The sequence below is a fragment of the Homo sapiens genome, chromosome 1 (assembly GCF_000001405.40).
Source record: "Homo sapiens chromosome 1, GRCh38.p14 Primary Assembly".
In the NCBI taxonomy this organism is placed as follows: domain Eukaryota; kingdom Metazoa; phylum Chordata; class Mammalia; order Primates; family Hominidae; genus Homo; species Homo sapiens.
Genome location: NC_000001.11, coordinates 195690492 through 195716619, shown reverse-complemented (window position 1 = coordinate 195716619; position 26128 = coordinate 195690492). Strand labels below are relative to the sequence as shown.

The 26128-nt window shown below is 33.6% G+C and overlaps 1 long non-coding RNA gene across 1 annotated transcript in view, besides 1 other annotated feature; it reads left to right on the top strand.

Moving 5' to 3' along the window:
- The window catches only part of LOC105371671 (uncharacterized), a 147500-nt gene that overhangs the window by 5280 nt on the left and 116092 nt on the right, over positions 1 to 26128 (top strand). Inside the window, exon 2 of the long non-coding RNA XR_922391.1 lies at positions 25855 to 26015. This is a non-coding gene — a long non-coding RNA (uncharacterized LOC105371671). The remainder of the gene's footprint in view (positions 1 to 25854; positions 26016 to 26128) is intronic.
- Positions 19192 to 19271: a silencer, noted in NCBI's record as "silent region_1658". NCBI's record gives its function as "represses an Ori minimal core promoter by ATAC-STARR-seq in GM12878 lymphoblastoid cells {active_cell/tissue: GM12878}" and the evidence as "EXISTENCE:reporter gene assay evidence [ECO:0000049][PMID:35858748]".

The following is a 26128-nucleotide window of genomic DNA, read 5'->3' as shown; positions in this document are numbered from 1 at the left end:
TTAACACAATGATTCAGAACTAGCAAAAAAAACTCATAATGTCTCCGGGCTGAAAATCACAGCTAAGCCTCATATTGTGTTTCTCAAAAATTAAAAAAACACATTTGAAAAACTTTGTGTAGAGCAACCTGAACAAATGACAATTGAAGTTCATAAAACAGAATAAAAAAAAAGTCCCCATTTTTTTCAATGATACTTTATTTTCATTCATTTAAATTGATTTTGAGACTAAGACATTTTTTACTGCAGTGTCTAAGAAGAGTAGAAAATTTGATAAATTTGTATTGAAACTGGTTTGGGGTTTTGGGGTCTTCATTCTCAAATTAGATGTTCTCTTTTTCTCAATAGCTCTAAAGTTGGAGAGACCTTTGAGATGGTATTGTTTTAAATTTTCCTCTAGCTGGGCATATTTTGTTAAAGATATTAATGTTCTTAACTGATCGATGAGTAGTGTTGGATTTTATCTAAAAATCCAAAAAAAAATAGAATAGTAATATCACTTTTCCAAGCATTTCCTGGACATCTGACTTTTTATCCTCTTCTTTTTTATTTTTTTCTAATTTTCTGTTACCTGATGAAAATATTTTTTTATTGGTTCATATAGTCAATTAGGATACTTTGGTCCAATTCTCCAAATTTTTTAAAAATTTCAGTTGTTATTAACAATTTGATTGTAATCTTTTTATCATTATATTCACTTCATTTTTATAATGTGTTATGATTGTAATAGTGGAAGGAAGCTTAGCATGACTGACTCCATTTTTCCTCTGACTCCCTGCCTCCTGTGGTCATATCCTTTACGTTAAAAGTGTCTGCTTAGCTTTGCTTGTAGATCAGCTAATTATAGGAGAAGTTTAGGTTGTAGTTCAACTTTAAGAAAAAAAAAATAACGGTTCCTTTATCAAAACTAACTCACAAGGAGATAAGGAAGTACACATACAAGTAATGGTATTTTGGTGAAGATTTAGGGCAACATTATGACTTGAGCTACTTCATCTGAACAGAGGTCAGCTGACCAAGCACAAAGAAGTTTCACAACCTACTGGGACCCTTGCTGATGCCCAGATGTCTGAGGTTGTCAGTCACCTCTTGACCTCAATCCCCTTTCTTCCCCCTTCCCTTAAAATAAAAATGAGCCTAAAGTTCATGCTAACTGAAGATGGTTCTTTGGAACAGAAGTTCATCTTTTTGGTTTGCTGGACCTCTGAAGTCACTTTCCTTGCCTCACTGCCTTGTTTCTATATTTATTGGCAGTCATGCAGCAAGTGGTACAAGCTTGAACTTATTTACAGGATCAAACAAGATGAAATATATGCCCCCAAATTAGAATACACACACACACACACACACACACACCCCACCTTTGACATTTCCTGTCTAAGAGGCAATCCTCTAAGGAAAATAAAAGTCTAATTTTTAATTAATTTAATTTAGCTAATATGCCTAAATCTTTCTTTACAACCAGGATATATTCTATTTCTCCATTGTCTTGAATTCATGCATATTTCTGTTTTAAGTCATTCGGCTATTCATACTTTGATTTGTGGATTCAGATATTCTCCTTTTTCTGCTATTGAGTCTTCAATTGTCTTTAATTCTATTACTTATACCTCAGCAAGAAAAATAGATTATTCTTTTCTGGTTGAGGGATAGGATTAACCTTTCATACAAAATATGATACTTTTCAGTGGGATTCTCCAAGAAATGAATTAGAAACAGAACTAGCTCTTCACACAACTGCCTAATGAGAATTGCAGTCTGTAATGTGATATACTGTATTCCTTTACCTTCAAAAGAGAACATGAATGATTGCATTTGCAAGTCAATGAAGAGAATGACATGTGAAATTCTTTGTTATTAATGTTCTGTTAGATAGTCATTTACCTTAAAGGAGCAAATTTTAGGAAAATTGAAACAGTAAAAATGCAACTCAGAAGAATGGTGATTTCATCCAGAAATTGCTCCGGAATATATTAGAAGACTACAGGGATATGTTAAAAATGGTCTGCTTCACCTGATACAGAGAAAATCCAAATAGTCCAAGCCATGTATAACAAAGTATTTCTCCTTGGATATAAAATAACCTTTTGGTTTTACCACACTGTCTTTTGTAGCTTTAATGCTTAGTCATAGTTATCCACATCTAACAAGCATAAATAAGCATGAACTTGTCATAGAACTTCCTCTAGTTCTTTCATAACCAGGGATGCCGTAGTTGATTCTAAAGTATCTTATTCAGAAGAATTACAGAGGTGGATAATGTCCTGTATTTGGGTAGCAGATAGAGAAAGAAGATATGTTTCTACCTCAAACATTCCAAAAGCATTATATAAGATGTCTGCAAAAATATATATTTGTACTCCTAGATGTTGGTTCTTAATATAAATTTTAGCAGATTAAAATTCTGTATGATTTTATAATCTTTCAAGCCTTTAGATTTTTTTTTTTTATAGCTTCTCAGTGGAACTTGGAGTCTGGTAAAAAGATTTATGTTGAATGCAAATATTGTCAATATATTTTACTAATAATGTAAACTATCCTTTTTAAAGATTTTTTCCTGTTCATATACAGTTATCACTCCTAAAATTCTTATTCTTTCAAGGATGAAATGGATTAAAAAATGGCATCAGCAACTGTCATTTCTACAATGGTAAAATGTGTAAGTCATTTCTGCTGGCAAGGCTGTTTACTTGGACTGACATTTGGCATAGGGCAATCTGGGCATGTATACCATGTAGAATATCTTGATGAATTCGGATTGAGGAAGGACTTTTTTTGAGATATGGTCTTGCTCTGTTGCCCAGGCTGGAGTGTGGTGATTATAGCTCACTGTAACCTTGAACACCTCTTTTCAAACAGCCCTCCTGTCTGGGCCACCTGAGTTGCTAGGATTACAAGCATGAGCCAAAGCACCCAGTAGTAAGGATTTCTCAAAGTTTCAAAAGCAAAACATAATGTGCAAAATATTAAATATATTATAATAAAATCAAGGAATTTTTATTTAATGAAGTAAATCACAAAGTGAATAGAAAGAGAACACGTGTAAGAGAATATTCACAATGTCTAAAAATGAAACAATATCTAGAATATATAAAGACTTCTGCAAATCAATAAAAAGAGGGGAGAGTTAAGAGTGAAACAGGTAAATGGTATAACTGGGCAATTTATAAAAGGAAACAAATAAAAAGAATATATTTGAAATAATTGATGCTTAGACATGGAAATTTTTAAAAGAAAAATGTAGCCATATCCACTACACTGGCAAAAGTTTAAAAATTTTTAAAACTTTAAAAGTCAAAGTTTTAAAGTTTTAAAACTTTAAAAGTCAAAAAATTTGCTGGTAGATGTTGGTGATATGACACTTCCATGCATTGCTGGCTGGAGGAAGCCCAGAAAACAGTCATTCTGTAAATCAATCTAGAAATATTCAAGCAAATTAAATGTAGACATAATGTATAATATAGAGGTAGTGGCATATTTCAAATAAATCCCTACAGTATTCCAAGTGGGATATTTATAAGCATGTTCATTGAACATTATTTATGGTGCCCGGATTTGGAGGTAATACAGCTTTCTGTCATTAGAGAGTGGTTTGACAAATATGATGGGTGCATACCATGAACTATCATGAAATAATTAAGTGATAGATTAGATGCACATATAGTAATAGGGATGGGTTTCAAAACCAGATTCCTCCATGAAAAATAAAATGGGTGATATAGAAAAACGAACATGGGATTAAATGCATACCAATAAAATGACACATTTTGAAAGAACACAGATATATAAAATATATACAAAATTAACACATAATGGTCTATTGGAATGCAAGGCAAATTTAGTGTCATAGATGGGAATAAAATAGAATAGATAAGACTGAATAGCAAAGGAGCCATAAACGTTCCAACAGTGATATGTTAACATAACTTAAGTGAACAAGCAACTAATAACATAAATAACTGAACAAGTATCAAAATCTGTGAAATAAAAATTTAAGAATGTATGTCCATGCCCATACTTGCCACCTTTTGATCTACCTAACAATGTAATTTTATACATAAATCTCCAATGTTGTTTTGTTTTAGATATTTTATATTTTTAGTGCTATTGTTAATAGGATTTATCTTCATTATATGTTCTAACCTGTCAAATACACCTTATAGAAAAATAATTTATTCTTTATTTTAGGATTTTTAAATCAAAACCAACATTTATTAATTACAGTTGATGTAATTAATATTACATTTATTACAACAATTAAAAATTACAGTTGATGTAATTTTTCTGGGTCTCGTGGGCAAAAAAGTGTTTCTTCTGTAGAAAATTATTCTCATTTTCAATATTTACAGACTTATTTTCTTTTCTAACTGAATTGTTTTGAAATAACCGAGCTATTATGCATGAGCCAACAGCATCTTGTTGGCTGTTCTGATTTTTAGTATTTATACAGTTTTGTTTTTATTCATAGCTGAATTGTTGGATTATAACAGCTATTTTAAACAAACGTGAATTCTTTCATCAATGTCTTGTCATTCCATCGTCACTTTTATAAATGATTTTGACTTTAGATATGTGACATATTCATTGTCACACTGGAAAGTTTCCTTTTAATAATAACTTACAATGACCTTTCTTTGCTATTTGCATGATTTTCATAATCTGATGTGATTAAAATAAAAACTTCTAACATACATATAAATTACACATTTTTAATAGAAAAAGTTCCAACAATTATTGCGATTGTAAAAGTGGACTACTATACACTATGCTCCTAATCATGTGTAGGATTTGTAGGTTTCTTTAAGTTGAGCAGAAGGGATAGGGTGTTTATTAGTTTTCTCTTGCTTTGTAACAAATTACATAAAACATATTAAAATAGCACACATTTATTATCCCACATTTTCTATAGGTTAGAAGTTCAAGCATGGCATGGCTGGATTCTCTGCTCAGAGACTCATGATGGGACTGAAATCAAGGTGTGTTGGTGGGGAAAATGAAACTTGGAATCTTCTTCCAAGGTCTTGTTGAAATAATTAATTTATATACAGTTGGAGAATTGAGGTTCCCATTTTCTTTGAACTGTTGTTCAGAGACCATTTTCAGCAACTAGAGGCTGCCACAGCTCTTGGCTATGTGGCTTTATGGGCATGAGACCTCCGTAGTCAATCTGACTCCATACTCTGAAGGACTCTATGCTTGGTTTTAATGCTCTGTTCTTATCTTGAAATTATTTGATCTGTAAACTTGTGTTTTTTATTTGAAGCCTAATGGAATAATGGGGCATGTGCTGAGAGCTTGGAACCTCAACTCATGTACATGTCCTCTCCCTGTCATCACTCTCTTCCCAGCAGGGGCCTAGGTACTCATGAAATGGATAAAGTGGAGGTTGTACACACATGCACTGAAGTGTTTCAGTAGTGGATGGCAATAGCCATCCTCATCTGAGTAGACAGCACCAGACAGCACCCAGCTTTGTCAGGTAGGCATCCAGCTCGACTGTGTCCTTGCGAAAGAGAACCTACAACTTCTGTCCCACCCTCAATCTAGTATCTACCATGTCTTGCAGCAAAGGTTAAAAGACCCTTGGGGGATGCCTCTACTATGGATTGTAACCATGCGCCTGTAGCAAAGGGAGATGACAGACTTGGCTTTCCTAGACACCATCTCCAGCTAGGTTGTAGCAAATCCACCCGGAGGCTGGCAGGAGGTGGCATCCTTTAGCTGTCAGGCCTGGTGCTTGCCATTCATCAAGGGTGGCACTCTCAGGAGCCTTTGTGAGTTTATACTTGTCCCATGAGCATCCCTGCTGCCATAGAGTGCATACCCTTGGGTTGGCTCCTGGTCTGGAAGGGCCCTTTCTTTCTTGTTCAAACCTTCCTGAATCTGGCTTACATCTTTTTTCTTCAGGCCTGCTAGAGGCACTGTCAGGGACAAGCTAAAAATATGAATTGTGCAATTTTTGTGATTCTGCAAATTTAGTTGCTCTAATATTTATATTTAAAAGTGATATCACATGATATAAACTTAAATGGTAGCATGCATGCAAATAATATACAATTTACATTTTTTCTTATAAAGATAAATAAAAAGCATCATGGCAATTTGAAAGGGAAACCACAGAAAGAAAATAATATATATTTTAATACCTTTAACAGGGCTCTTTTTCCTGTTTTTAAAATAAGAAGCCCTCATTTTGAACATGGGCATCCATAATTTATGGAGATACACAAATTATGAAGTGGGCCCTGTACCCACATCCTCATGATACCTACTTTGTAGACAATCTGCTTTTTGTTTTATGATTTTTAGAGTTAAGTGCTTTGTTAGGAGTATGTTTTTAGTCTAAAACAGATAGGTATATGATTTAGTATTCAGTTGGCTGTATGTAGCAGGCCGTTGATACGGTTTGGATGTTTTTTCCTTTCCAAATCTCATGTTGAAATGTGACCTCCAGTGTTGCAGGTGGGCCTCGTGGGGTGGGAGGTGTTTGCCTCATGGGGGCAGATCCCTCATGAATAGCTTGGTGCTGTCATCGCATTAATGAGTGAGTTCTCACTCTATGAGACAGCATAAGATCTGGTTGTTTAAAAGGCCTGATACCTCCTTCCTCTTTCTCTTGCCATATGCTGGCTGCCCTTTTGCCTTCTGTCATAACTGTTAGTTTCCTGAGGCCCTCACCCAAAGCAGATGCTGACACTATGCTTCTTGTACAGCCTGCAAAACCACTTTTCTTTATAAATTGCCCAGCTTCAAGTATTCCTTGGTAGCAATGCAAAATGGACTAACAAAAATAAATTTAGAAGTGTTTAAAAATGGAGGTTTCATTTTCTTATATTTAACACAATTTTTCAGACTGACAGGTCTAGGAGGTATTCAAGAATTCCATCATATTAAGGCTCAGAGTCAATGTCTCCATGTTTCTTTTTATCACTTAATCACTGTCACCAGCATCCAGTCATTCTCAAACAATGCACAAACCTGAAGCAAAAGGAGAATTATCTTCACACACTTTATCAACACACTTCTGCAGGGCCATAGGCTGGGATTGTATCTGTGCTCAAATATAATTAAGGCTGAGAAAGTACCTTGCATTTTCAGCTCCTATTATTACTAGAGGTAAGCTCTGATAGCCCAAAAAAAAAAAAAAAAGTGTTGGGGAGATATGGGAAAGAGGTGTAGAGTAGACAAAAGGCACCGTGAAGTGATGCATGTAACTGGCTCAATGGCAGCTCAGCAGATCTGAAGAGCAAGGGGTTTGGAACTGGACCCAAGACCTACTATATGAAGTGTCTTTTGGTTTCACTCTCTTGTCTTCCATCTTTTATCTCTTAACATGCCTTCTTAATTTGTGTTTTTCTCTCAGAAAAACCTTTGCATGACAGTTAAGAAAGCCACAAACAACCTTTTTTTGCTCTCTAAATACAGTGAAAATTGTTTTTCTATGGACTTCCAAATAAAAATTCCATAGAAGTCCTTTAACTGTCTCTGATGGGGTGATGTTTGCATGACTTGTGGCATTCATTATTGCCAGGTAGTTGGATATTATGACCGACTAGGCCATAATATCATTTACCCAGTGATAAGAGTGTACTCTTATCACTGGGTAAATGGAGGATAGTGGTTTGGGGTGGAGAAATAAAGGACTGGAATTGAAAACTTTATCATAGGTATTGACATGAGTGAGAATATTTTCTCAAAAAGATTTTTTTTTCTAATACACTATCAATTCTATTTTGTGAGTTCGAACAGTTAATTAGATATTTTAGCATGAGATTTCTAGATTCATCACATTCTCTTGCTCTCAATCAGAATTTGTTTTGTTTTTCTTCAGTTTTATTGTCTGTTGCAGTTATTGTACGTATCAGCTTATTTCTCAGAGTTCTTTAAAAACATATTGGGGGGAACACAATACAGATGTATAACAGTACTATATTCAGCTATCTTTTAAAATATTTTACAATCCATATTCTTTTCACGTTATCTTGAGTGTTTTATGTTTCAGACTGCTTTCACTAGCCCTGTAATGGTGTTTTTGATTTTTGTATTTACTTTTATGAAAATGAAGGAAGTCCCAATCCTCACAGATTTGTTGTACTATGTTCATCTCTGCATGATAGCTTTTAAAATCTACTCGAGGTTAAAGCCATTATGAGAAGCCAAGGAAAGTAGTACCCACATGGGGAGAGTGGAAGAGGACCCATGGTGGGAAGACCTTAGCTGATGTTAGAACTTGAGCAAGATGAAGCAAGCCTATTAGTAGGCGGGCTAATGAATGCATAGTCAGGTGGGAGACCACGTTTGGAGATAGCTTGGCAGGAGGGTTGAATTTACAGTTAATCCATTTAAGTCAACATCCCTCTGATATGTAAACATCAAGTATAAACAATTTAAAGCAATTTAATATAGCTCTCGTCAAGTTACAGCCTTGTAAGCATCAGTAAGCATCAAGAAAATATATTTTCTAGTTTTAAACTACAGTAAAATATGTACATGGACATGAGAGGGCATATGTAAAATGAGATATCTCAAGGTTTCTCTTTTTCAAATTAATGCTTAAATTCCTTAGATTATGCTTACAGAAACAGAAAATTCTGTTTCTACTCATTTTCCTTACACTGAATAATCTTATGTTAAAAGATTTGCACCATCTTATTTCTGAAAGATTTACTGTTAAGACAATATGTGCCAAATACTAGGCTGGGTACTGGGGATAAGAGATGAATAAGTATGTAGTGAAGAAATAGCTTTACTCAATGAGAAATGGAGCCTTTGCTCCAGCACCTGTAAGGTAACCTGTAAACCTGAGTGTTAGGAATTTCCTGAACGACGGGTGTGCCTCTGTGTTGTTGATGGGCCCCTTTGACCACACTTGATAGTTTATGCTAAGAGGCGACCCATGGTCTATGCCAAAACAGTGTATGGTAATAACATGGCTCAGGATGGAAGCTGGACATGCCAGCAGTTGCTTTTGAGGACTTAGTCATAAATTCTTTCCCAAGGCCGATGTCCAGAATGATGTTTCTTAGATTTTCTTCTAGAATTCTTGTAGTTTGAGGTCTTACTTTTAAGTCTTTAATCCATCTTCAATTAATTTTTGTATTTGGTGAAAGGTAAAGGTGTGGTTTTATTCTCTGCATATGGCTAGCCAGCTTTCCAGGCACCATTTATCGAATAGGGAGTCCTTTCCCCGTTGGATGTTTCTGTCAACTTTGTCAAAGATCAGATGATTGTAGGTATGTGGCTTTATTTCTGGGTTCTCTATTCTGTTCCATTGGTCTGTCTGTTTTTGTATCCGTACCATCCTGCTTTGGTTATAGCCTTAAAGTACAGTTTAAGGTCAGGTAATGTGATGCCTCTGGCTTTGTTCTTTTTGCTTAGGATTGTTTTGGCTCTTGGGGCTCTTTTTTGGTCCTATGTGAATTTTAGAATAGTTTCCTTTTTTATAGTTCTGTGGAAAACAACATTGGTAGTTTGATAGGAATAGCATTGGATCTGTAGACTGCTTTGGGCATTACGGCCATTTTAGTGATACTGATTCTTCCAGTTCACGAGCATGGAATATTTTTCCATTTGTTTGTCTCATCTATGATTTCTTTCAGCCAAGGTTTGTAGTACTCCTTGTAGAGATCTTTTACATCCTTGGTTAAATGCATTCCTAGGGTGTGTGTCTGTGTGTGTGTGTCTATTGCAAATGGGATTCCATTCTCGATTTGACTCTCAGCTTGAACGTCATTGGCATATAGAGATGCTACTGATTTTTGTAGACAAATTAGTTATAATGACTAAACAGAATAAAATCCTTTCTATTATAAAACATGCCCTTTCTCACTGTAACAATGTCAAAAATATATAAAGCCAAATCTTCTTGTAATCTCAGATGGTCATGAATATGTAGTAATCTTAAGTAAACATTTTATTAATATTAAATTAGTTCAGAAAAGTGTACCTCTAATAAAAGTAAAACTCAGTGACTGTTCACAAACTGAACATACCTGTTTAACCAGCTCCCAAATACAAAAAGAATGCTAACCTCCCTGAAGCCCTCTAGTAGCCTTATCCAGTCACTGTTTTCTCCCCACCCAGCAAAGGTATCCACCATCCTGACTCCTAATGAAAAGTTATTTTGTAGCATAATTCTTAAATGCATCTCTATTCAGTAAAAAATCTATTATTAGTTCTCCCCAGTAATAGCGCACCATTTGGGTTTTGAATGATAATAATGTTTATAGACTGGTGACCCAAGGTTCAACATTTACCATAAAAATATGATTTAATTTTTAGCTATCACATCTGCATACTCACACCTTAACTTTACTCTGTGGTTTGCTCTTGGGCCCATCCACCCTCTAGTCTATACGTATCAATTTTTCTATATTCAGCATGATGTGAACATTTTCAGTAAATAACTAGGAAGCAAATAGAAATAAGTCGTGAGTTTTTCCGTGGATTTAAGGATATGCAATACTATACACTAAGGTGAACAGAAACAAAACAGATAGTTGTGGGGGAAAAATATCAGATACAATGTACATGAAGAAAGTTTCCATCTCCGAAGATCAGTGGTACACTCTGAAGAACACAATTAAACTTGATGCTGTCAATATTCATTCACAATACATTATTGAAAGTGAAAGTGAATATTTGTGTTATTTAGCCAAACTAATACCTGATAAATAAATCTTGTTAATAATGTCAACAAATAATTATTGCTCAACTGTGTGTACAATCACAGTGACTGAAATCCATTACATTTTAAGGCATTTAATTTTAGGACAATATTAATGACTGCTGTTTTTCTTGCTGTACACAAATTTTCTCGTTTTTTTTCACCTATATCTGATATTTTGGTTTTGGTTTGGGGGCTCCAAGCAAAATATATAAAATTTCTTTCCCATATGGCCACACTAAAGTAATGAAATTGATGGAAGATGTCATTAACTTCAAATTTCATTTTATTCAAAACAACTGTCCATAGTTCCATTGATTGTCCTTCACTTGATCTTGTTTAATTTCCTTTCCCATGTTTACCCCAGTCAATCAATATAGTATTATCTTTCTTCTCATTCTTTTTATATTTTTATTTTTAATTGATGAATTATAATTGTATACATGTATATGATACTTTGATATATGTATACATTGTGTAATGATTAAATTTAGCTTATATCTATCACCTCACAAACCTATTATTTTTTGTGGTAAGAACATTTGAAATTTACTCTTGTAGCAATTTTAAAAATATGAGGCTTTATTATTAACTATAGTTATCATCCTGTGCAATAGATCTCAAAAACTTATTCCTCTTGTGTAACTAAAACCTTGTATGACATCTTAATCTAAATTACAATAGCCAATGAAATCATTCATGACTACACTTAATCATTAATGCCTTTCGAGTTTCACAAAATGTAAATGTTTTCAATGGCTTTATTATGCCACTAAGAAATTGCAAATCATATGACCTCATCACGTAAGCCACCTTATTAAGTTTATTAGTGTAGGTAAGACATAAATCTGATTTTTAAAATATCTGCATAACCAGTCTTTTCTGTCTGAAACTGTTTTGGAATAAATATGTGCTGAAACAGTTAAAGAATGAAATTCTTGTCTTTTCTAATGTGAGAAAAAATGAGATTTATTCATAAAAATACTTGTTATTTTAATTATAAAGGGTAGAGCCCAGATTTTACATTTGATTGCATACATTTAAATGCATTATGTAATTTATAGTCATAAATATTGTTAGTTTCATTAAAGAGTTTTATTTTATTAAATATTTAGTGGATTTCTGCTATGTATTGGACTTTATTCTAGGTGCTTAGGATATAGCAGTAAATAAAACAAACATTTCTGCCCTTCTATAGCTTATAAACCAATGCTTATAGCAATTACAGACTTTTCTCAGGCTCACATAAATGCAAGGGGCAGAATTAGGAAAATTCTAATATAATGAGGCTCTAGCCAGACAATGATAAATAATAGTGGAAAAATATTTCATTTGTTTCTTCGACAAGCACAAAGAATCACAGACTTTAAGGACATTTTCCCTTGATTATAATAATCAGGAATCCTCTATTTTTCTTGCTCTGTCAAGAACGTAAAATGCTAAATTGCATTTACATTCTTGTAAATGCAATTTACAAGATTTGTAAAATGCAAACTCTTAACCATTCTATATAAATTTTTTCCTTCATAAAATGATGAAACAGTGTAAACACTGAGATGAATATATGTGGCTTTGACTAAAGGCGGGAATCACTATGAATGTCTTTCAAAGAACAATTATCAGTCAAAGTAGTGCCATTGTAGATCCTATTTATTTGATAACTCTGTAAAGATTCAATTATGCTATATTAATCTGAATATGGAAATGTCCTTCAAATAGTATTAATTAAACACATAATTTTGCTGAAGTTGCAAGACTGGAACATTGTTTTCTATTTGCTAATTTCATTTTCCAGAAGTTTGATGCTTTCCTAGCTAAAAGGAAAAATAATTAAAGGGCAAAAATAGAATGTATTTTGTACCAAAGATTTAGTGACGTAAATTTAAAATTAAAGGAGGCTTAATAAAATCTTTACTAAACTATATGATTTCTAATAATTACTTTGAAATTTTCTTTTTAAAAATTATTTGCTCTGTACACATAAAAGTTTATTTCTCCTTAAGGTTTTTTGCAGAGATTGCTCTCTTGCAGGGATGCTACTCCCCATTCTTTAAATGAGGACTCATTTTAAATGTCATTTCCTCAGTGTGACCCCCCAGACCCCCAAGGTCATACAATCTAACATAGCTGCCACTACCACTATTTTCTTTCACCACATCTTGCAATTTCTTTCATATCATTTATCATATTATATCCTTATTTGTATATTTGTTTAATGTTTGGTTTGTCACTCTAAACTTGTTAGGAGAATATATTTAACACCTTACTCAGGCATGGCATATAATACATTCTCAATATTCTTGTCAAACAACAATTGTCAAAGTTGAGAAATAAATTGAAGATATTATTAAATTATCTGAAAATTAGTCTTGTTACAATGCTAAATTGATCAATTTTATTACATATGGCTTTAACATAGTCTAGCATTATTAATCTATAAATAGTCAAATATGTAGGTGATTGTGTACAACTGTAGTTCATGCTTTTTGAAGAGTAAGATGCTCCTGATTGTTTAAGCAGGGATTGTTTGAGTAGCACAATCTCCTTTTTGTTAATTAATTCATCATTTCACTAAGTGTCTTAAGGAAGATGGCTCCATCCTTTGTTCAAATGCAAAGTCTAGTTGGTGCTAAGCCAAAGAGATTTCCATTCCTTTTGCCAGTGATTGGCTTAGGGGTTAGTGTTGTGGGAAGTCAGGGACCCGAACTGAGGGACCAGCTGAAGCCATGGTGGAAGAACATAAATTGTGAAGATTTCATGGACATTTATTAGTTCCCCAAATTAATACTTTTATAATTTCTTATGCCTGTCTTTACTGTAATCTCTGAACATAAATTGTGAAGATTTCATGGACACTTATCACTTCCCCAATCAATACCCTTGTGATTTCCTATGCCTATCTTCACTTTAATCTCTTAATCCCATCATCTTCACAAGCTGAGGAAGGATGTATGTTGCCTCAGGACCATGTGATGATTGTGGTAACTGCACAAATTATTTGTAGAGCATGTGTGTTTGAACAATATGAAATCTGGGCACCTTGAAAAAAGAACAGGATAACAGCAACGTTCAGGGAACAAGAGAGATAACCTTAAAATCTGACTGCTGGTAAGCCGGGTGAAACAGAGACATATTTCTCTTCTTTCAAAAGCAAATGGGAGAAATATCACTGAATTCTTTTCCTCAGCAAGGAACATCCCTGAGAAAGAGAATGCACCCCTGAGGGGAAGCCTCTAAAATGGCCGCTTTGTGGGTGGCTGTCTTTTATGGTTGTAGAGGTGGGATGAAATAAGCCCCGGTCTCCCGTAGCGCTCCCAGGGTTATTAGGACGAGGAAATTCCTGCCTAATAAATTTTGGTCAGACCGGTTGTCTGCTCTGAAATCCTGTCTCCTGATAAGATGTTATCAATGACAATGCATGCCCAAAACTTCACTAGCAATTCTAATTTTGCCCTGGTCCTGTGGTCCTGTGATCTTGCCCTGCCTCCATTTGCTTTGTGATATTTTATTACCTTGTGAAGCCTGTGATCTCTGTGACCCACACCCTATTCATACACTCCCCTTTTGAAAATCACTAATAAAAACTTGCTGGTTTTGCGGCTTGCGGGGCATCACGAAACCTGCCGACATGTGATGTCTCTCCCAGACACCCAGCTTTAAAATTTCTCTCTTTTGTACTCTGTCCCTTTATTTCTCAGACCGGCTGACACTTAGAGAAAATAGAAAAGAACCTACGTGAAATATTGGGGGTGAATTTTACCAGATATGTTAGCATGTGATGCACCTCTGGTGAATGAGAGTTACAGGGAAGTCTGGTGGTATTTCTGTGTACATTTTCTTTTTCTTAAGGTGAGACATAGGAAAGTTTGTTCACTTATGCTTCAGGTAATTATTGTGTATGGCATGCTCATGATGACAAAATAAAAGGAGGGAAAGAATCTGGGTCCTTGATGTCATCATTGTGTGAATGAATTAATCAACAGTAAAAACACCTAAGTTCTGAATTTCTATTTAGTGAAAGCAGGTTTGAGAGGATTTTTCTTATATCTTCAGTCAAAAGCTTTGAAGTACATTTTCAAAACAATAATGCATAATTTTTTAAATGTTGAACAATATTTTGAAACATTGTTACTTTAAAATAATATGTGAAATTTAGGACTGATACTAGTGAATTCTATTTCAATAAATTATTTAATGTGCATAATTATTTCACCTTGATGGTCAATAAGAAGATTGTCTGTGCATTAGTACAGAATAAAAGAGATAAGTTTAGTTAAACTGGATAAGAAACATGCAATTATCTACTGTTTTCCCATTAAAATCTTCATCATAAATTACTTTATGCCAAACAACATAATAGCTATACCTCAGCTGGAGTTTAAATTCATCATCTGACACTGTGGGAGTCAAAATGTTACGGTATCAAGTTTATGAACTTCTTTACTTTCAACGTGACTTAGCTAAAATATACAGCTTTAATGATTAATGTAGATAACAATTAACATGCACATTTGTCTGCCATGGGATGCTTGCTTAATTTTCATGGCACATGGCATTAAAATAAATGATCGTTTTCATGTGATCTTCTCAAGCTTTATGGCTGAATTTGTGATACTCAGCAATTTTAATGACTATATTATTAAATAAACCATTAATAATAATCATAAGTTACTTCCATAACGTTGTTTACATATAAGAAAATATTCTAAGATACTATATTAACTGAATATTTCTAAAAATATTATGAAATAAAAAATTTTACTGTCTTCTTAGAGATGTGCAAATCGATGCATAGAGGGACTATGAGTTGCCCTGGGTCCTTCAGATCCTAGGTTGTGAAGACAGCCTGAATGTACTTTTAACCACTGTGTTGGCTCCTTTTTATTAGATAGAAAACATACAGAGAATAAACATTCAAGTAATTTTTATTCTATTAAATATGTGGTTTATTATTTGAAATATTTTACTTGTATTAAATAAAATACCATTTTATACCACTAGTACACAGATACATTTAATTCACTGTTTCTGAGAGGTGTCATAAAGTTTTAACTTAAGGTTAACTTCTGAATATAGTAATTAATTTATTATAAAACATAGGGAAAATTTCTAGTAAGAAACAGTTATATTTACTGAACTAATTGTTGTTTTTAAAGCTAGGGCTATCATCTGGCCCATCTGCAAAAATGAGTTTTGAATTAAACTGTCAATGTAATTCATTGGGTTCCTTTGCAGTTGCAACAGCCCTGTATTTAAAATCTATTTTATCAATAAGCTGCTGAAGAAATTACTTATGCAAATGATAGACCATAATAAATAACATTCCCAGAGGTGCAAATTAAAAATTCCTTATTTTCCAAAGGTAAGTTTCATTCAAGCTTCAAAGATTGAATATTGCAAAGAAGCTTGGGGGAGAACTGTAAAGTCATTAACCATGTACGCACAGGAAAAATAATTAAGAAGTCAAATAAAATTGATTGCTAAATATTAGCATTAAATAATTATCTCCTGTCAGTACATTGTAATATTTTGGTGGTTGAAGATATCTATGAATTTTTCCCATTGATATATCTTCCCATCTATCTTAGATCTGTGCACATCATGCATTTAGTCATCTGAGCAAAATTCCTTACAAGTCTAATATCTTCCTTTTTTTGTTAATTTTACACTAAGGTGTGCACTCCAGATAATACTTTCTTATAAAAAGCCACTGAAGTATAAAGAAATATAAATATTTTATAAATTTTGATAGCCCAAAGGAATTAGGCTTACTTTAAATAGTACCACTTATACATTGATAAATATTTTATACATTTACCCTTTATTGAGGAACCCTTTATTTAAGACTTACTATACACTTAGATGAAACACATATATGAAAAAAAGAAGATGAACTCTCTACCCCCAAGGAATTAACATTTTGGTGGAAGAGCTTATATAAGATGGTCACGTAATATGGTCATAGGTATGATATAATTGAAATCTCACAACATAAATATATGACATTTATTTTTAATTTACAAATAAACTAAATTTTAAGAAGTACCTTGTTGAAAATTATATACTATCTTTGCAGTCATAAGGACCTTCCCCAGATCTTTCTACACTTACACTTTCTCCTAACCTTGCTATCTCCATTTTTTTCATTTTCTGCACTGCAGTAAAAGTGATAGTCCTACAACTAAAAAATAAAAAATAATTTTAAAAAAGACCATGCTGGTCTCCTGTTTAAAACACTTAAATTCTGACAATTGCTTTCAGGGTAATATCCAACTTCCTCAACATGAATATGGTTTGCTTAAATTTGATCCAAAAACTGGTTTGAGAGGTAGGGGTGCTCCTGGGGCTTTTTCTTTCATATCACAGATTTTGGAGGACGTCATTATTGGTTAAGAGTTGGAAGCACTGAAGCACTGTTCCGAGTATAACAATAGGTGTCTAGGAGCCCATTCCCTTTCTTGAAGGAACTTAAGAATGTCTTTGGTGACAGAAAGCCTTTTTTTTTTTTTTTCTTAACATGGAATAAAAGTGAAAACAAAGTGAAAGTAGACTTTGCTGTCTTTGGCATGGCTGAGTAGCCTAAACATTTTGCAGCTATTAATGACCTGCTTTGAACCTGAAACTAATGGATAAGACAATCTAGGTAGCTTCTCAGATTTAGGCGCTTTAGGTGCTCTGATGAACAAAATGTGTGAGCTGCCTTGACTCCCAATTATTGGTGATGAAATATAGAGGATAGGACAGTGGCATCTCACAAAAGTCTCTCCATTTCTTTCCACAAAGGCCCTCTGCATCCTATCCCCTCTCTTGGGCCTAAAGCCTTTTTCTTTCATTGCCTCCACTCAGTCTTTTCCTTGCTTTCCAGCCTGGGCATGGGTGGTAAGTGAAAGGTTTCTTATTGCTTATATTGCTTGTTTCTTGGTTTTTCAAATCTCAATCATCTAGTCAAATAACTATATTCTTAAGTTATGAGGGTCAATGATCTATTCCCTTCCTCTCCCTCCCCTCTCTTTCTTCCTCTCTGTGTTTTACTTAGACATATATTCCACTAAAATAAATAAATATAACGTGCTGAATGCCTAACTGGAAAAAAAAGTAGAAATTAGTAACAGAGATATACTGTCAAAACTGGGATTGAAATGGCATAAGTTTGACATGTTGATCCTTGGCATACTTAAACTTCCATTAGAAAATAACTGAAAACATAAGAACAGGAAAAATATACAACTAATATGGGAAAATAAGTCTACCATTAATTTTCTGGAATTTGGAACTTGAGTCTGTTATTGAGGTGTTACAATTTTAGGACCATAAATTGACATTATTGGCTAATACACATTTCATTTCAGCCTTATGAATTTATGACTGTGACCATGCATAAGTTCACAGAAGGTTTAGGCTAATCATGTCCTATAGCTTTGAAGTATAAGAACCTTATCAAAGAACATTAAAGGTAATTGTCCCTCTCTCCAAATTAGCTTTTTAAAAGAGAAAGCATTTAAACTTTCAAAAATCCAGGCCGGGCACAGTGGCTCACACCTGTAATCCCAGCGCTTTGGGAGGCCGAGGAGGGCAGACCACCTGAGGTTTGGAGTTCGAGACCAGCCTGGCCAACATAGTGAAACTCCATCTCTATTAAAAATACGAAAATTAGCCGGATGTGGTGGGGTGGGGGAGGGCGCCTGTAATCCCAGCTGCTGGGGAGGCTGAGGCAGGAGAATTGCTTGAACCCAGGAGGCAGAGGTTGGAGTGAGCTGAGATCGCATTACTGCACTCCAGCCTGGGCCACAGAGTGAGACTCCATCTCAAAAAATAAAAATAAAGTTTTAAAAATCCAGTTTCTTTCTAAGATAAATTTTAAAAGAGACAGAAACACAAATATTAGGAAATTAAAAGAGAGGAATAAAACTAACCTTAACCCCAAATTAAGATCAAAACCAATAAGTGAAAACAAATCTTAAAAAGATCATATTGAATACCTAGGAGTATATTTACCTTTCTATAATTATCATTGCAAAGTGAAAATAAATCAAATAATGTTTTATTAAAAATAACTAAATTTGGCAGGGTGCGGTGGCTCACGCCTGTAATCCCACCACTTTGGGAGGCTGAGGTGGGCGGATCACGACATCAAGAGATAAAGACCATCCTGGCCAACATAGTGAAACCCTGTCTCTACTAAAAATACAAAAATTTAGCTGGGTGTGGTGGTGCGTGCCTGTAGTCCCAGCTACTCGGGAGGCTGAAGCAGGAGAATCGCTTGAACCTGGGAGGCGGAGGTTGCAGTGAGCCGAGATCACGCCATTGCACTCTAGCCTGGCGACAGAGTGAGACTCCATCTAAAAAAAAAAAAAAAAAAAAAACCTATATTAAAAAATAACCATGATGTAATTTCAAGAAATATTCAAATATCTACCACTTTCCATATGCTGTTTGAGGTATCAAAAGTTATTTTTAAATATTAAAAAAGAATGTACACTACCAATATTAGCTTGTCACTTAACATTTTCTCTTTATATCCCAAATTCATTGCATGATGCTAGAACAATGGATTAGGTAATGTACCTTGATGGTGCTCTTTACAGCTGTTAGTTTCATTTGCTATCATTGTGGTAAGCCTCCTCTCCACAAAGCAACCTCACTGTTTTCATTCTTTAGTATAGCTAAACACATTCTGTCGCATCACACCTAAGTCTTTCACACTGAATACTAAATTATCTAATAACAATAATAGTCCAGTAAGAGGCTGAATTAATTAGAATTTCAAAGCACGGACTCTAGGACAAATGGTCTGGGTTTATATCCCAGCCATTCTATTTACTATGGGCACATGAACTTTCTATCTATAAAATATGAATGCTAATAATACAACTTACCTCAGATGATTGCTGTGAAGAACACGTGAATTAAGAGTACTTGAAAAATAAAACACTTAAAAGAGGTGATGAAACACAGGAAAACATTTTTTAAATGCTAGCTATGCTACAATATTACTATAATTTGAATGATGTGAGGACAGAGCCTTATTTTTCCTTTTATACATTAATATATTTTCAGTCCTTAGAATAGATAATAACACATGGTAGGTGCTCTAAACATTCTGTTGAATAAGTGAACATTTACCAAACACTTTTAACTGTCAGGCACTGGGATAAATATTTCATATGCATTACTTCTTTCATTTTGCTAATAAACCTTTGCATTTAATAGACTTGTATGTTCCTTTTCCTGACACGGGGATTAAAACATATGTTAAATTAATTGCTGAGTATTACCTGTTTAGGAAGCTTATTAATTTCCTATTTCTGCTATAAAAATTACCAAACTTAACAGCTTAAGCAACCCATAATTTTCATCTTACAGTTCTGGATTTCAGAAGTCCAAAATATGTTATATCAGGCTAAATTCATGGTATTAAATGTTTAAGTTTATCTCTGGAGGCTTTTGGGGGGAAACTGTTTTGTTGTTGTTGTTGTTGTTATTGTTGTTTGTTTTCCTTTTGCCTTTTCCAGCTTCTAGAGGCCTTCTGATTTCTTCAGCTTATGGCTTACTTCCTCCTATACAAAACAAACACACACACAATGAAAACACCCAAAAAGTGTAAACCCTGAGAAGAACAAAATGTTTTAGTTAAAAGGACTGTAGAAGACTCAAATAAATAAAATTGAAAACACAAAAGGGGACATTACAACTGATACCATTAAAATGAAAAAGGATTATTAGAGAGACTATTACAAACAACTACATGACAACAAAATCGAAAACCTAGTGGAAATGGATAAATTCATAGATACATACAACCTACTTAGATTGAACCAAGAAGATTGAACCTGAACAATTGCAAGTAACAAGATTGAATCTGTAATAAAAAAGACTCCAATCAAAGAAAAGTCTAAGGTCTGATGGCTCGTCTGCGGAATTCTATCAAAGAAGTAATATCAATTTTCCTCAAAACTCTTTCAGAAAATTGAAGAAAATTCTTCTAAATTCACTTCATAAGACCAACAGTATCCTGATACTAAAACTAGACCAGAACATAAAAACAAAAGAAAACTATAGGCCAAGATACTTGATAAACATAGAAGCAAAACTCCTAAACAAAATACTAGCAAACAGAATCCAGCAGTACGTTAACATGATTATTCACCATAATCAAGTGGGATTTATCCCAGGGATACAAGGATGATTCAACATACTCATATCAACAGACTTGATCCATCACATCAACAGAATGAAGAAAAAACAACAATATTTGTTAAGTATTCAACAAATATTGTGGGGGAGGGAATGAGCCTAAAATTATAGGTTTACCTTTGAGACTTTGCCTCCAAACTTCCAACAAAATATGATCTATAATCTATTTTCACCAATGACAGATATTTATTGAGCACTTTTTCTGTGGGAGGCTCATATGATTTTTCCATCTATGCATAAAAAGCATTTGATAAAACTCAACATCTCATCACGATAAAAACTCTCAAAAAACTAAGTAAAGAAAGAACATATTTCAACACAATAAAGGCCATATGACAAAACCACAGCTAGCATCATACTAAATGGAGCAAAGCTGAAAGCTTTTTATCTAAGAACTTGAATAAGTCAAGGATGTCCACTCTCATCACTCTTATTCAACTAGTCCTAGTCAGTTCAATTAGGCAAGGGAAAAAATAGAGGGCATCCAAATTGAAAAGAAGGAAGTCAAATTGTCAAGTGGTCAAATTGTTCCTGTTTGCAGACAAAATGATCTTACATATAGAAAATCCTAAAAGCTCTACCAAAAAACCTCTTAGAACTGATAAATGAATTCAGTAAAGTGGTAGGATACAAAATCAACATGCAAAAATTGGTAGTGTATTTATACACTATGACAAAATAGCAGAATAAAAAATCAACAAAGCAATCCCATTTACAGTAGCTATATATATAAAAAAAAAAACCTAGGAATACATTTAACAAAGGACATGAAAAGCCTCTACAAGGAAAACTATAAAACACTGATGAAAGAAATTAAGAGGACACACAAGAAAATGGAAAGACATCCCATGTTGATGGATGGGAAGAATTAATATGTGAAAATGACCATAATACCAAAAGAGATCTAAAGATTTAATGCAATACCTATGAAAATGCCAATTCATAGAAATGCTTAAAAGCTATAAAATTCATATGGAGACCAAAGACTTTAGGAAAGCAATATTCAGCAAAAAGAATAAAGCTGGAGGCATCATACTTCCTGGCTTCAAATCATACTAGAAAGCTATCATAATTAAAAATGCATGGAACTGGCATAAAACCAAACACAGACCAATGAAACAATGGAAAACCCAGAAATAAATTCACAAATTTATAGCCACTAATTTTTGATAAAGGCACTAAGAACATACATTAGAGAAAGGGCATTCTCTTTGATAAATGGTACCGAAAAAACTGTTATTAAACATTGTATGAAGGTTTCACAAAAAAACTATAAATAGAACTACAATATTAGGCGATTCCACTATTCAGTATATATTCACAATAAAGAAAATCAGTATGTTGAAGAAATAATTGCCCTCTCATGTTTATTGCAGCTCTATTCACAATAGCCAAGACATGAAATCAACCTAAGTGCCCATCAACAGTTGAAAGGATAAGGAAAATGTTTATATAAACACAATGGAATACTATTTAGCTACATAAAATAATGAAAATCTGATATTTACACAGAATGGATGAGTTTGGAGGATAAGTAAAATAAGGCAGAAACAGAAAGTGTTCTCATATGTGGAAGCAAAGAAAAATGATACCATAGCATGATTTATAATCCTTTGGGTATATACCCAGTAATGGGATCAATGGGTCAAATGGGTCTAGACCCTTGAGGAATCGCCACACTGTCTTCCACAATGGTTGAACTAGTTTACACTCCCACCAACAATGTAAGAGTGTTCCTATTTCAATATGACTATTTGTCATATTTTTTTAAGTTAATATAAAACAGACTCAGACATGTCCTTCAGGATGCATTCCAGAAGAAAGCCTTGTTTTCCTAGGAGATGACAGCTCCATGCATGTTATTGTCCCTGAAGACCTTCCAGTGGGACAGGGTGTGGAGGAGGAAGAAAGAGATATTGATTATCCTAACCCTGTGTAGGACTGGGCTAATGTGTGTGTGTTTGTGTTTTCATTTTTAACAAAACATTTACAAACTAAAAAAGAAAAAGAAATTTTACATAGAAAAAAGCTTATAGAATAAAGATATAAGAAAATGTTTTGTACAGCTTTAGAATGTTTGTGTTTTAAGCTAAATATTACAAAAGAGTCAAGTTTGCAAAAAAATAAAAAGTTTATAAAATAAAAAAATGATACAGAAGTAGAGGGTAGAATACTGGTTGCTAGAAACTGGAAAGGATGCAGAGGATAGCCATAGGTTGGTTAATGAATATAAAATTACAGCTAGATAGAAGGAAGACATTCTGGTGTTCTGTAGCACTGTAGGTTGACTACAATTAACAACCATTTATTGTATATTTTCAAAATCACTAGAAGAGTAAATTTTGGATGTTCCCTACCCAAAATAATGGGAAATGTCTTAGATGATAGATACGCTAATTACCCTGATTTGATCAGCGCATTGTATACATGCATTGAAACATTTCACTGTATCCCATGAATATGTACAATCATTATGTGTCAATTAAAAATAAATGCAAAAACCACAGCTATCCTAAAAACATATCATGATTGAACAGATAGGTAATACTAGGAAAATAAAAAAAATATAAAAATGCATATAGAATCAAAACCTAAAACAATTTCTTATGAAAAAAATTATATTCTGTATCGTATATCTGTTTTTTGAATCCTATAATAGAAAAAGACAAGGAATAGCAAGTGAGAGAGTATCTCCTTATGGTTTTGAATTCCATTTCCCAATGACTTATGTTTTTCATCTTTTTATGTGCTTTTTGGCATATCTTAATTGGAGAAATTTCCAGTAAAGCATTTTGCCCACTTTGAAACTAGGTCCTTTGTTTTTAAGTTGTGTTATAGAAGCTCTTTATATATTCTGAATATAAGACCTGTATTAGGTATATGCTTTGCATATATGTTCTCCCATTTTATAGTTTGTCTTACTTTTTTATAATGTCCCTTCATGCACAGAAGTTTTTACTTTTGATGAAATCCAATTTGTCCATTTTTTTGTTCATGTTTTTGCTGCCATACCTAAGAACCCACTGCCAAATCCAAGATCATAAAGATTTACTTCTATTTTTTCCTTAGAGTTTAATTGTTTAACTCATATTTGGGGTTGTTTTTCTACTTTGAGTTAATTTTGTATATGATGTGAGGTAGGAGTCTAATTTCCTTCTTTGCATGTGGATGACCAATTATTCCAGGACGGTATCTTGAAGAAATTATTCTTACCCCACTCAATGATCTTGGCACTCTTATTGCAAATGAATTGACCATGAATATATGTGTTTATTTCTGGATTCTTAATTCTGTTTGATTGATCTATTTATCTATGCTTATGCCAGTTCCACAGAGTCTTGGTAACTAACTGTAGCTTTGTGGTAAGTTTAGAAATCTAGAACACGGTCCTTTTTAAGATTGTTTTGGTTATTTTGAATCCCTTGCAACTCCATATGAATTTGGGGATTGGCTTTTCCATTTCTCCCAAAAGAAAAGGCCATCAAAATGAGGATTCAATTAATTTTATAAGTATTGTATTGAATCTGTAGATCACTTTGGGTAGTATTGTCAATTTAACAATATTACTGCCATGAACATGGAATGTTTTCCATTTATTTAGGTGTTCTTTTATTTCTTTCAGCTATATTTTTTGGTTTTCAGTAAACAAGTCTTTACCTTTCTTTGCTAAATGTATTCCTAGATATTTCTGGGTTCCTTTTAGTGTTATTGGGAAAGGAATTGTTCACTTAGTTTCCTTTTCTAATTGTTTATTGCTAGTATATAGAAACAGGACTAATTTGTTTGGGTTCATTTTCTATCCTACAACTTTGATGAATTTGCTTATAGCACTAGCAGTTTTGGTATGTGTATTTGTGTGTGTTTGTGTGTGTGCGTGTGTGTGTGTGTATACCTTGGAATAATCTATATATGGAATCATGTCATCTGCAAATAGACACTTTTACTATTTTCTTTTCACTTTGGATAGGTTTTTTTTTTTCAACTGGGTAATAGCTCTGACTAGAATTTCTACTACAATGGTAAATATTAATAGCATAGCAAAAGCAAGCATCCTTGTCTTGTTCCTAATGTCAGAGGCAAAGCTTTCAGACTTTTACCACTGAACATGATGTTAGCTAAGAGTTTTGCATACCTGCCCTTTTTAGGTTCAGGGAGTTTCCTTCTATTCCTAGTTATCTGAATGTTCTTATTGTGACAAAATATTAAATTTATTATGTTTCCTGCATCAATTGAAATGATAATTGTTTGTTTTTTTCCTTTTGGTTCTATTAATGTGGTTTATTATATTAATTAGTTTTCTTATTGTGAACCACATTTGCTTTCCTGATACAAATTCCATTTGGTCATTAAATAAAACATTTTTAATATGCTGTTTACAAAAGTACTATGTCTGTGATTTCTTACAGACAGTCAAAAAATAGTAAAAAACAATACAGTTTGCTAGTACTTTGTTGATAATTATTTCACTCATATTCATAAGGGATATTGATATGTAGTTTTCTTTAATTATAATGCCTTTATCTATTTTTGGTACCATATAATGCTAGCCTTGTAGAATAAGTTAATTTTCTACTAATATTTTGGGGGCAAATAAATTGGGAAAGATTAGTGTTAATTATTTTTAAAATGCTTGATCGAATTCATTAGTGAAACTATGTGGTTCTGGAATTTTGTTTTTTGGGATTTTTTTGATGTTTTTGATTACTGATTCATTTTCTTTACCTTTATTGAGTCTTCTCAGATTTTCTATTTATTGAGTTAATTTTGGTAGTTTGTTTATTTCTAAAAATATGTTCATCTAGTTTATTTAATTTATTGCAATAGATTATGGGTCAAATTTTACACCCCCTCCCAAAATACATATGTTGAATTCCTAATCTGCATTACCTCAGAATGTGACCTCATTTGAAAATATGGTCTTTGTAGATGTAAGCAGTTTAAAATAAAGCTGTCAGGGTAGACCTTCATCCAGTCTAACTGGTGTTTTCTTACAGAAGGGGACATTTGGATACAGACACAGGCATGAACAGAGGAGAGACCATGTGAAGAGTCACAGGGAGAATGCCATGTGAAGACAGAGGAATGGAATTATCCATCCACATGCAATAAAATGCCAAAGATTGCCAGGAAGTCACCAGAAGCTTGGAACAGTCTGGTAAGAATTTTTCTGCATGTTTCAGAGAGAGCATAAATAGCCTCAAGAGACACAATAAGGTTGGTTCTGACTGTTTTCTCATGTTTTTTGGTGTTTCTGGGGCAGATGGGCCC